This window comes from Homo sapiens, chromosome 7, assembly GCF_000001405.40.
Source record: "Homo sapiens chromosome 7, GRCh38.p14 Primary Assembly".
Lineage (NCBI taxonomy): Eukaryota > Metazoa > Chordata > Mammalia > Primates > Hominidae > Homo > Homo sapiens.
Genome location: NC_000007.14, coordinates 5,680,462 through 5,692,482, shown reverse-complemented (window position 1 = coordinate 5,692,482; position 12,021 = coordinate 5,680,462). Strand labels below are relative to the sequence as shown.

At 46.3% G+C, this 12,021-nt stretch overlaps 1 protein-coding gene across 10 annotated transcripts in view, besides 4 other annotated features; it reads left to right on the top strand.

Annotated features, from left to right (window-relative positions):
• RNF216 (ring finger protein 216) overlaps window positions 1–12,021 on the top strand; it is a 161,617-nt gene that overhangs the window by 89,181 nt on the left and 60,415 nt on the right. The gene's annotated exons all lie outside the window — the stretch shown is intronic.
• Window positions 6,776–6,855: a silencer, noted in NCBI's record as "silent region_17929". NCBI's record gives its function as "represses an Ori minimal core promoter by ATAC-STARR-seq in GM12878 lymphoblastoid cells {active_cell/tissue: GM12878}" and the evidence as "EXISTENCE:reporter gene assay evidence [ECO:0000049][PMID:35858748]".
• Window positions 9,778–9,827: an enhancer, noted in NCBI's record as "active region_25608". NCBI's record gives its function as "activates an Ori minimal core promoter by ATAC-STARR-seq in GM12878 lymphoblastoid cells {active_cell/tissue: GM12878}" and the evidence as "EXISTENCE:reporter gene assay evidence [ECO:0000049][PMID:35858748]".
• Window positions 9,958–10,007: an enhancer, noted in NCBI's record as "active region_25607". NCBI's record gives its function as "activates an Ori minimal core promoter by ATAC-STARR-seq in GM12878 lymphoblastoid cells {active_cell/tissue: GM12878}" and the evidence as "EXISTENCE:reporter gene assay evidence [ECO:0000049][PMID:35858748]".
• Window positions 11,961–12,020: an enhancer, noted in NCBI's record as "active region_25606". NCBI's record gives its function as "activates an Ori minimal core promoter by ATAC-STARR-seq in GM12878 lymphoblastoid cells {active_cell/tissue: GM12878}" and the evidence as "EXISTENCE:reporter gene assay evidence [ECO:0000049][PMID:35858748]".

Genomic DNA, 12,021 nt, shown 5'->3' with positions numbered 1-12,021 from the left:
TAGTATGGCTTTTAGTAGTTAGAATTCAAGACTGTTTCCAACTGCTGCCTTTTCCCACAGAGTATGTCTGACTAACAAGGATGGGTTCTGATTCACCCGGCGTTGCTATGACCGCTTTTTAAAAATGTCTGCTTTGGGTTGTGAAATCAGCAAATAAAGTTGTTACTTTCCTAGTATGTGTAACAGTTAGCTTTTGGTATGTGAGGAACAAGTAAAAGGCTTAGTGGCAAATCCTTGTCTGCTTAGAAGGCAGTGTACATATAAACAACTAAAAAATTCCCATTTGGCTGCCAGCCTCGATTCATAGTTCCCTCTTCCAGCTCCCAAGCAAATATTTTTCAAATAGCCGTGCTAAGCCTTTTCCAGGCATGATTTGCGGGCTTACTTGCTGTCATTCTATTTTTCAGCAAAACTCTGGGTAGGAATGTCGGAAATTATACCTTTTGAAATCCCTCCTTGAAAACATGGAGATTTGTAGGTATGCAGAGGCAATTGTAACAATATAAAGTATTGTATCTCTTCCACTAGAGTAGGAGGGCCTGACTGTCGGCCCCTGGGGTCTGTCTTTCATTACTTGTCTTGACTTCCGCTGTAAAAGCATTAAGTGGGAAGGTAGCAGTTCTGCTGAACAAGCAGACATTGCCTTCTGTAAGAGAAGTTATTTAAAACATCGAAAATATGTTTGAAAGATATTGGTGTAGTTTCCTCTGACCTCAATTTCATACACTAGTAACTCTCCGGTGTCTAGAGTTAGTACTGATGGACTCCCTGCCGGGTGGCCAGAACCATGTGTCCATGCCAGATAGAAGATTCTACTTCACTTGATTGAGGACGCTAAGAAGTTGTGCTTTGCCATACATGTTGCCCCTAAGGAGAAGCTGGGCATTTTAAAGAATAGACTTAAAACTAACACACATACTCTGTTTTTCTCACACACACATTCCCCCTCTCCCCTTCTCTTCTACACACACCAGCACTGCCTTCCCCACCCCCACCATAGCTCTCTCCATTACTGCCTTTAACCTTGAAACCTCTCTTGTACACTTACGCATTCATCTGTTCCTGCTCTTGTATCATTAATGGGCCTGGAGCAATCCAGCCAGGAGCAATCCAGCCAGAACAGGAACACTGACATTACTAATTACTGCTTATAACTGAGAAGTAAGGAGCAGTGAGTAAAGTGGGTCACAAGACAGTGTCCTAGCAGTCAAATGCTGCCGTCGGCCCGAGTGGCGAGGTGTCAGGTGGCTTGTCTCCCCTTCACCATGGGTAGACCTGGCAGAGCACCCTGTTGGCATGAGCAGAAGTGCTGTCACGTTGATCACCCAGGCTCACCGTCTACACACACGGTTAGAGAAATGGGTGTGCTTCTGTCGGAACTTAAAAACATGGCAGATCAACCCGTGAGAACAGAGTTCTTTGCACGGCTGTGTGAGCTGGGAAGAGACGACAGGCAGAAAAGGTGCTGCAGGGGGTGTGTGGAGGTGGAGCTTCAGCCTCTCCTGGCTGTGTGCTGGATAAGCCCTGAACCACAGGGTCCAAGTTGACTCATCTGTAGGTTGTCTTCAGCCCCCAAATCGCAATTCCATGATGAATGTGTACATTTTACACATGTGCGTATGTGTTATTAAGTGTCAGGCTGGTGTGGCAGAGCTGTCCTGGCAGAACATGCGTGTGTACATCCCTGCAGGCTGTCGGGGCATGAGCTCTAGTGTGGGCTGTATTGCAGGAGCATCAGCAGAGAAGGGCGAGATCTTCACTCTACCTCTCACTAGCCCTGGGCACTTCCCACTGCCTTTGTGGACTTCTGTTTGCTCTTCTGTAGAATGGGATAACAGTGCCAGTCCTGCTTACTATTTAGGGTTATGTGATGCTTGCAGATGTACAGGGAAAGCACTGCTGATGGGAGCTGCTGAAGTTTCTAGGGGAGGTGAAGGTGGCGCCTCCTCCCCTGGTCTAAGTGGTAGATGGTGCAGGGAGAGGAGAATTTCATTCTGTGGCAGCAGCTGATAGATTCCAGGTCTTTAATACTACCTGGGAAACCTTAACAAAGCAGTCAGTCACCAAAACTGACCTAGCTTCTGAGCATTGCTAACCATGCTTTTAGAGAAACAGGAAGTAAAAAGGATCTTTAAAATCTTTTTTTTTTTTTTTTGAGATGGAATTTCACTCTTGTTGCCCAGGCTAGAGTGCAATGGCGCGATCTTGGCTCACTGCAACCTCCGCTTCCTGTGTGCAAGAGATTCTCCTGCCTCAGCCTCCCAAGTAGCTGGGATTACAGGTGTGCACCACCATGCCTGGCTAATTTTTTGTATTTTTAGTAGAGACAGGGTTTCACCATGGCCAGGCTGGTCTTAAACTCCTGACCTCAGGTGATCCGCCCGCCTAAGCCTCCCAGAGTGCTGGGATTACAGGCATGAGCCACCCACCGCGCCTGGCCATAAAACCTTTAAAGATGTAAGTAAAATATAATACAGGTGAACTCGGCAAATAAGGGGGGTTACCTGCCCTCCTCTTCTCTTCTCTTTTCTGTTCTTTTTTTTTTTTTGTTTGAGACAGAGTCACCCAGGCTGGAATGCAGTGGCGCAATCTTGGCTCACTGCAACCCCCCGCCTCCTGGATTCAAGTGATTCTCCTGCCTCAGCCTCCCAAGTGGCTGGAATAACACCCAGCTAATTTTTTTGCATTTTTAGTAGAGACGGAATTTTGCCACGCAGGCCAGGCTTGTCTTGAACTCCTAACCTTAGGTGATCCACCTGCCTCGGCCTCCCCAAAGTGCTAGGATTACAGGCGTGAGCCACCATGCCTGGCCTTTGTACTATTTATTAAACTCTGCATATCTAAATGATTTTACTCAAGTCTATCATGTAATTACAGCCCTAAAACTACATTTCTTATGCTTTAAAAACTTGTAGGAAGTCCAAGAGAAAAGGAAAACTACTTGACTACAAGCCTAGGGTTTTTTGTTTTTTGTTTTTTTTTAGAAAATGGCCTCCAGAAAGTGGGAAATTATTGATCACTTGACAACAGAAGGGATGTGGGTTTCTAGGCGCCCTGCCTCCTCGGCTTTGGATGTTTTGCCTTTCACTTTTCTTCTTCTTTCTTTTTTTTTTTTTTTTTAATACTACAAATATGGTTATTGTTGAGAAAGTCTTGGAGTGAGTCATGGTTACAAAAACTGAGCGTAACTTCTGTCACTTTTCCTATACCTCACAAACTAGCCAAAATGCTGCCATATCAGCTTCTGGAGCCAGGCCTGCCCTTTGCCCCCGTCAAGCATCCACCTCCCCAGACCCTTAGCGCTGCACTCCAGGACCCCCTTCCACCTCCCTCCTGTGCTTTTGGTTCTGCATATTGGCTCACAAGGCACTGATGGTGGTGCCATATAATAGGATATCATTTTGTTTCACAGAATCGGCAGCCTGTTCTTTTATGAGAGAGGAAGCCACAGCAGAACCAAGTAAGATGCCAGGCTTCTCAGATCCACTTGAAGAAAAAGGAGTATTTCCTTTACCTAGTTTTGTGAATATTTTTCCCGCTTCTCTCATTCAGTCAACATTTGAGTTCAGACTTAAACTTTATATTGAAGAACACAGTGCTTTGCACAGTAATGTTAGTAGCTGTTATCATCATTTGGGAATTCGTATCATATTATTAAGAGCAACTCTTTCACTAATAAGAAAGCTAAATAAACTGAGAATTGCCCAATCCTAAGTCACCCACAGTTTTACAGATATCCCAGTCCAAAAAAAAATAAGACAAGCCTGATAATAAGTATGGATAAGGAAGTCTCCAGAAGATACACTGTCAGATGTGTAAAGCAAGGTAAGGTGCGCAGAGTGAGCCTTCTGCTCACTTTGTATAAATGTAAAGGATAAAGCTGGTAAATACATGCGCCTTTAACTTTTTTCTTCAAAACCTAAGCATGAAACACAAACTGCTACAGGAAGGCTTGACAAGAGGGGAGTTTTTGCTTTTTGTTTATAATAACTTCTGTATTTCTTAGCACATTCAGTATGTGTTCTTCTTTTCACTAGTGTCAACAGAGATACGAACATTTAAATTTTTTTAAAAAGCTTTAGGATAGAAAAGAGGTGTAGCTGGGCAATTTCCTTTGACATGCGGTTTGTCTGAAATAGAGCAGCCCCTTGTTTATGATTTCCAGATATGTGAGTCTGTTTTTTTATGTACAGGTTTTACCTTGGCTCAATTTACTGTCTAGTTACATTTTAACAGCTTTCTACTCTGCTTTTTCTCTCAATATAAAAGTAATCGAAAGAAGACTAATCATTTTTGAAATGCTTTCAGTTTTACACAGTTCTGTGCGTGAAAGCCTGGTGTCCCCACCAGCCAACTGTGGGAATCCAGGACATAGAGCAGGAATAGCTGCTGCTTATTTACTGCTCTAATTACCTCTTCGGTTCCATTTGCGGTCGCTAGTTCCTTCCATCAAGCAAAGTGAAAATTGTCAAAACGGCTGTTTTTCCCTCCTGGAAAACAGAAAAAAGAATATGGCAAGATGTTAACTGTGGCATGACAGTCCGGGATTCTGGACACGACCTACATAATCTTCCTTGTATCTCTTTGTGACTTGGTTTCCTCATCTGTAAAATGGTGAGATCATGATCTCTGCCTCACCCACTGGGTTGTCTGAAGATTAAAGGAGGGGATGTTTGCAAAACTCTTAGCACCTTTAAACTTAGGTCCTTGGAAATGCTAGTGGATTCACTTATCTTCTCCTTCCTTAGATGCTTGGAAAGTAAGACACTGGCATTTCTGTCATTCTTGATTTCCTGGTCATTTGGGGGCACTTAATTTCTCTGTGTTGGTTTCCTCCTCTGTAATGAGATCTGTTAATCTCAGGATTTCACAAGGGGCAGGCAGAGAGGCTTGTCACAGCCTTTTAGAACTAGAAGAAACTTAAGATGTCATTTAGGTCCACAAGTGCCAATATGAGAGTCTTTCTACAGTATCTTTGTCCAAAAGTAGATGTGAGTGGACTCTTTGGTTTCTGAAAATCCCACATCATGTCCCCTTAATTTCTTTTCTTTCTTTTCTTTTCTTTTTCTTTTTTTTTTTTTTTTTTTTGAGGTGGAGTTTCACTCTTGTTGCCCAGGATGGAGCAGTGACGCAGTCTCAGCTCACTGCAACCTCCGCCTCCCAGGTTCAAGTGATTCTCCCTCCTCAGCCTCCCAAGTAGCTGAGATTACAGGCGCCCGCCACCATGCCCAGTTTATTTTTGTATTTTTAGTAGAGATGGGGTTTCACCATGTTGGCCAGGCTGGCCTCAAACTCCTGACCTCAGGTGATCTGCCCACCTCAACCTCCCAGAGTGCTGGGATTACAGGCATGAGCCACCGTACCTGGTCTTCCTTTAATTTCTAGATTTTGATTTTGAACCTGGTGTTTCTATAACATTCACTTGACTGTGGTGATGAATCCAATTAGAATAATCAGGGCTCTGCTTTTATCTTTTAAGATAGGGATCCCCAGTCCCCATCCCCAGGCCACACAGGAGGTGAGCACTGGGCCAGTGAGTGAGCATTACGACCTGAGCTCTGCCTCCTGTCAGATCAGCAGCAGCATTAGAGTCTCAGGAGCGTGAACCCTGTTGTGAACTGCTCATGCAAGGGATCTGAGTTGCACACTCCTTATGAGAGTCTAATGCCTGAAGCCATCTCTCCACGCCCTGTCCGTGGAAAAATAGTCTTCCACGAAACTGGTTCCTAGGACCAAAAATGTTGGGGACCGCTGTTTTAAGATCTTCTGTAGGTAATATGTCATTGCCGCAAATAGCGCTACCTTTGAAAGCTTGTTTGACAAATCTTCCAAACCCAGCTCACATGTATTTAAAGAAATAGTTGACAAGTGCAGTTCTAAGTGAGCCTCACAATTTAGAACATCAGTTTAGGAACACTGGCGTGCATTGTACAGATTTGGCTTCCCTGCCTCAGCTTTCCTAAAGGCACTGATGGTTAAGCAGCACTTAACCAGAGAACAGATAACATTCAGACTCTTAAGCCACCACTGTGTGACTGTCCGCACATCATTTACTCTGACTTTCCTCATCAGAGAAATGGGGATCCTGTTTTCTGTCCCAGCCCCCTTCAGGGTGGTTGTGAGAAGCAAATGAGGCCGCAACAGGTAAGGGCTCTTTGACAGAGGTGTCAGAAGCCCCCACAGAAACCACGTGGCAGCAGTGGTGTTCTTGAGAGTTTGGAGAAGCACGCTCCATTTTTTTTTTTTTTTTTTTTTTTTAATAACAGAGTCATACTCTGTCAACCCAGGCTGGAGTGCAGCAGCATGATCTCGGCTCACTGCAACCTCTGCCTTCTGGATTCAAGCGATTCTCCTGCCTCAGCCTCCCGAATAGCTGGGATTACAGACGTGCATCACCACGCCTGGCTAATTTTTGCATTTTTAGTAGAGACAGGGTTTCACCATGTTGGCCATGCTAGTCTCGAACTCCTCACCTCAGATGATCCGTCCGCCTCAGCCTCCCAAACTGCTGGGATTACAGGTGTGAGCCACCGCGCCCGGCCGGAATTTTTTACATCGTTTTCTACAAGGTCAGTACATAGAAATGCATTATAGTGCTCCAAATATAAAGAATTCACATACTGAAAATGTTTTGCTTTTGTCCAGCCTTCTTAACATACATATTTAATTACAAGGCATGAGGATTAATGGGGCTTTGAATATTTAAAGCTCTTTTCCCAAGATGAATTTGATTTAGCTACTGAGATGGGCATCTGCAGTGCTGGTGACTTGCCATGTGGCTGGGAGTTTGAGAGCAGAGGAGGTGAGACCAGGACTGATGTCAGGTTGGCTTCTGGTGTTTTACTTCCTTTTCCACTATGCCCCCTCCCCTCTCACTTTTAGCTCACCGCTTTGTCTTTTCAGTTTGCTGAGGAAAGAGGAAAAAGTAATAGAATTTGCCTTGATGTAGTTCACCGTGTAGCTTGCTGTTTTCAAAGTTGTAATGTTTAGTGTGCATCCCTTAGTGTCTTGGAAAGTAACAGAACAATTTCTATAGCCCTGCCCTCCCAACAATCCTCCCTTACACCCTGGCTTCCATCCCAGGGCTTCTGTGGGGAGGAGGAGAGAACACAGGCCAACAGAGCATGGACCCAGAAAGGGGCCTCCTGACATTAATCACGTTTTATTCATGGAATTCTGAAGATGGAGGAGATCAAGAGGCTCTGGAGCAAAAAGGAGGAGATGGTTTTGTTCGTGCTCACTGTCTCCAGCTACCACAGCCAGGGGAGCTACCTCCATGCCCACCCATCCGTGGTGGACATTGTACATGGGCAGCCCAATCACTGGAGGCCATGAGCCTCCAGTGAGGTAGAGAGGCAGAATAAAGAGTGAGCCACCAGGACCCAAGATGGCGGCTTGAGGGCAGGCAAGACGCTGCCTTCATCCAGAGCGTGGCTCACCATCAGCAAGAATCCTGGGCACTCTCTTCACCCCTCCACCTATGCTGTGTAAAGACTGCTCAAATCTGATACCCCCTGCACATCCTGAAGCCTGTGGGGTGACAAAGCTACAGACTAACACCCCACCCCACCCCCAGCCCCCCATGCAGGACTCCCAAGCACCCTTTCCTTCTTGGGGAAAATTTTACTGACCTCTCTTTTCATCACCTTAAAAATGTGAGGCATGTCATTTGGTTTACTAGAGGAAAGAACTCTGTAAAGGTAAAGTTTTGTTTTTCCTAACTATATGTGAGGTGCCTTGAAGAAGACATTGCTTGAACACCCACTGGAATTGCTGCTAGGGTGTTGTTCAGGTATCAGTCAAGTTCCTTTTTCTCACTAGCAAGGGACAGCCACCACAGCCTGAGTGGAACTGGGAAAGCTACGTGGCTACATGGGATGGGCTTTACTGCCCCTGACATCAGCCAGACTTGATTTCCAGCAACCCCAGGGAACATCGAACTGCATGGGGCCAGGCCCAGGAGAAGCCAGCAGCTGGTGCTTCCTGGAATAGGCCAGGGCTGACAAACTCCAAGAGGAGCCTAAAGATCAGCATTTGTTTTAATGCAGAGGCTCGGCTTAGAAGGCCCAGCTTGTGGGCCAGGCGCAGTGGCTCGCACCTGTAATCCCAGGACTTTGGGAGGCCAAGGCAGGTGGGTCACGAGGTCAGGAGATCGAGACCATCCTGGCTAACACAGTGAAACCCCGTCTCTACTAAAAATACAAAAACAAAAATTAGCTGGGCGTGGTGGCGGGTGCCTGTAGTCCTAACTACTCCGGAGGCTGAGGTGGGAGAATGGCGTGAACCTGGAAGGTGGAGCTTGCAGTGAGCCAAGATCACGCCACTGCACTCCAGCCTGGGTGACAGAGCGAGACTCCATCTCAAAAAAAAAAAAAAAAAAAAAAAAAAGAAGGCCCAGCTTGTGGAAACACTGGTCCCACCATCACAGACCAGTACCTGATACTGCCAGACCAAATCAACTTGCTGCTGCCTTGGTCTTCACACATCCCGCCACAAGACCCCTACTGGATCTTGCCCTTAACTTAGCAGTAGCCAGCCTTCTCACCAGACACAAGTGATGCCCGTCCCTATTCTCTGTGCAGGCTGGAGAATTCATGTGGTGTTTATCTTTTTTCTGTAATGATGGCCATAGCAACTAGGCTGTAAATTCTGCTGGGCTTATCTTGCACTTTTAACAGGTTTTATCCATAGACACTGATGATAATTGTATGGCTCATTGATTATCTACTGCTGTGCTGAGCACTTTAAAAACAGTTGTAATTCCTAATCCTCACAGTAACCCTGAGAGGAAGGTGCTGACATTGTCCTCATTCTCCTTGATGAGGACACTGAGGCTCCAGGTTAAGTGTGCACTCAAAGGGGTAGAGCCAGGATTGCAACTGGCACCTCTCTCCCATCACAAAACTTGGAGAACATCTTACCTGTTCAGAGAGTTCTGATGAGGTGGTTAAGTCATGATGCTATGTGCCTGTGGCCTTGGTCTCTCCACATGGAGGATGGGGGTGATACGGGACCCACCTCAGGATGTGGTGAGCAGTCTGGCAGCACCACTTAGATATAGACACCTCTGGGCACTGTTGCAGGAAAATAGAGTTGGAAGCTGCAGTGAGCCTCCAACTTGTGGATTGTACCACTGCACTCCAGCCTGGGTGACAAGAGACCCTGTCTCTTTAAAAATAAAACAAAATCCAGCAAGGTCTTTTGTTTCCCCTTTTTTTTTAATGAATAAACAAAGAGGCCAGGAGCTGCTAAGGGCTACATAGATTCCACTGGCCCTGTCTTCATTCCTTCTACCATGTGATGCTGCATTTCTAGCTTGTGGTCTGGTGTCTGTTTTTTGTTTGTTTGTTTGTTTTTACCATATAATTATAATCATTGCATACATACAGTGTTGTGCCCTGCGGTTTTGTTTTTTGTTTTTTAACTTAGCATGACATAGCACTTTCTGCATTCTTAAGGAGTTTGTGACCCCGTCATGGGAGGTTGTCATTCCATCACACAGATTTATGTTGGTTTACCTATGCTTGCTCCTGAGTTGGAAATGTAGAATTTTTTTCTGGTTTTGATGCTACATTAACGCAATGCAAAGCTTTATATGTAAAGCTTTTTCTTTTTTAGAATTATTCCTTAGAATAGATCCCTAGAGTAGGACTCTTGATTCCAAGAGAATCCATTTGCTTAAGACTCTTGGAGCACAGTTTCAAATTTCTTTCCAAAAGTGTTGCACATGATTATTCTAACTCTATTACATGCTACTTATTTAAAAGTAAAAATGTCAGCCGAGCGCAGAGGCTCACGCCGATATCCCAGCCCTTTGGGAGGCTGAGGTGGGTGGATCATTTGAGGTCAGGAGTTCAAGATCAGCCTGGCCAAAATGTTGAAACCCTGTCTCTACTAAAAATACAAAAATAGCCCGGCATGGTGGTGGGCACCTGTAGTCCCAGCTACTCGGGTGGCTGAGGCAGGAGAATCGCTTGAACCCAGGAAGCAGGGGTTGCAGTAAGACAAGACCGCGCCACTGCACTGCAGCCTGGGCAACAGAGTGAGACTGTCTCAAAAAAAAAAAAAAAGAAAAAAAATGAAAGTAAAACTGTCATCTCTCCTTTAGGCCAGAGATTGGCTGCTCCAAGCTAAGTAGTAACATGTGCTCCATGGCTGCCCTTTTAGAGGGACGGGTGTGAGGGTAACCTGGTCAAGTAGCCTCTGAGGTGATTCCAAAGGATTTCAGAACAAGATAGGGATTTTTGGAGTCTAGATTTGAGAAAAAGTCAGTGTGGGCTGGCACGTAGGTACAGAATCTGCCAACTTTGCAATTTAGAAAAGGGGAAAGAAAGCCAACGGTTTTTCCTAGCAGCGTGGGCCCGCATGGCCTCAGGTGCCTGTGTCTGCTGAGTGGACAGGTCTGCAAGCATTTCTCCATCATCCCCACCCTGAGAAGAGGCAGCAGCCGGCCACAGAAGTGGCACACACAGAGCCAGAGTGCCAGTGGGCTGTGACCCATTGTCTAAGGTTGCTGTGGCACAGGGAGATGGTCATCTTTGTAGCATTCTTTAGAAAACCACTGGGGGTTACCACCCTTAGGGGCTACACAGATCCCGTCTTCATGTTGAACTTGCTTTTGAATTTGGCCTTTTCACCTCCTATCCTCCTTTTCTGGGTGTTTCCCGTTTATGTAGTCAGGATTGAGGGATGGCTGTTGATGAGATGCCATGGCCAGTCAGTAAGCCGGAGTGTTGAAGCTGAGCAGTGTGGTTTCGCAGTGTGGTCTGGTAAGTTGCAACCAGTGAGGCTTGGGCCAACATACCAGACAGAAAACTATCCCCAGTTGAGGAATGGGACTCGTCCTTGACACTTCCTAAGCAAGAACAACATTGAAAGGTTGTCAGTGTGGTCAGTGGGTAGGGTTAATCAAGGAGGAGGAAGACACTGTCCTTGGTGCTACAGGTCCTGCCTAGCCCTAGAGGCTTGAGAACACCCCTTGGAATAAACTAGAGAGGGAGGCACACTGGGTCAGGGCTACAGATTTCCTCCCAGAAGCTTAGAAGCTGCTGGGGACTTGGTAATCCACAGTTGTTTCTGTGTAGCTATAAAATGTGACGTGTTTGGGGCCAAGGATGACTTTTCTCTTTCAGAATAAAGTTTGTATTTTTTCCTAAAACAGGTAAATGATGGGAGATGAAACCAGATGATAATTCAGATTCTGGCCCTAGGTAATTGCTTGGATTTCCTGAGGTAGGGAGGTTCCTACATTAGGCATAGTATGAGAAACATTTAGGGTGCTGCTAAAGGCCCAGGTGGCTCTTCAGTGTCTCTGAAGAACCACAAACGATTCAGGACTTGTCCAAATTATAAGCAAGAGGCTAGGCGTTCAAAGAGCCAGGGACAAGCTGTTGAGGTAAGAACACAGGAGCTGAGACCCCAGTGTGGGAAGGGTCTGGGGTATCTGCGGGGTATGGCTGGAGGCAGCAGCATGAGAGGGAGTGAGGGGTGGGATGGCCTGAAGTCCAGGCTCTCCGCCATGGCCCAGCCAGAGGGGATCTAGGCTGGGTTTTGGACCCAGATAGGAGTGGGTTAGATGTGAGGTGCATTTTGGAGGCGGAACAGAAAGGACAAGCTGGAATGAGTGGGGGTAAAGAGAAAGGAGGAATTGGGTTTTGTTGCATGAGCAGCCAGTGGGTGGCTGTGTCCTTCAGGGATACAGGGGAGCCCAGGGGCCAGAAGTGGTGCTTCAGACATCTTTTGTCTGGGGTGCCTTTTAGATATCCAAGTAGAAGTGTTGAGTGCTGGGCGCGGTGGCTCACACCTGTAATCCCAGCACTTTGGGAGGCCGAGTCGGGCAGATCACAAGGTCAGGAGATCGAGACCATCCTGGCCAACATGGTGAAACCCCGTCTCTAGTAAAATACAAAAAAAATTAGCTGAGCATGGTGGTGCGCGCCTGTAGTCCCAGCTACTCAGGAGGCTGAAGCAGGGGAATCGCTTGAACCCGGGAGGTAGAGATTGCAGTGAGCCGAGATCGCA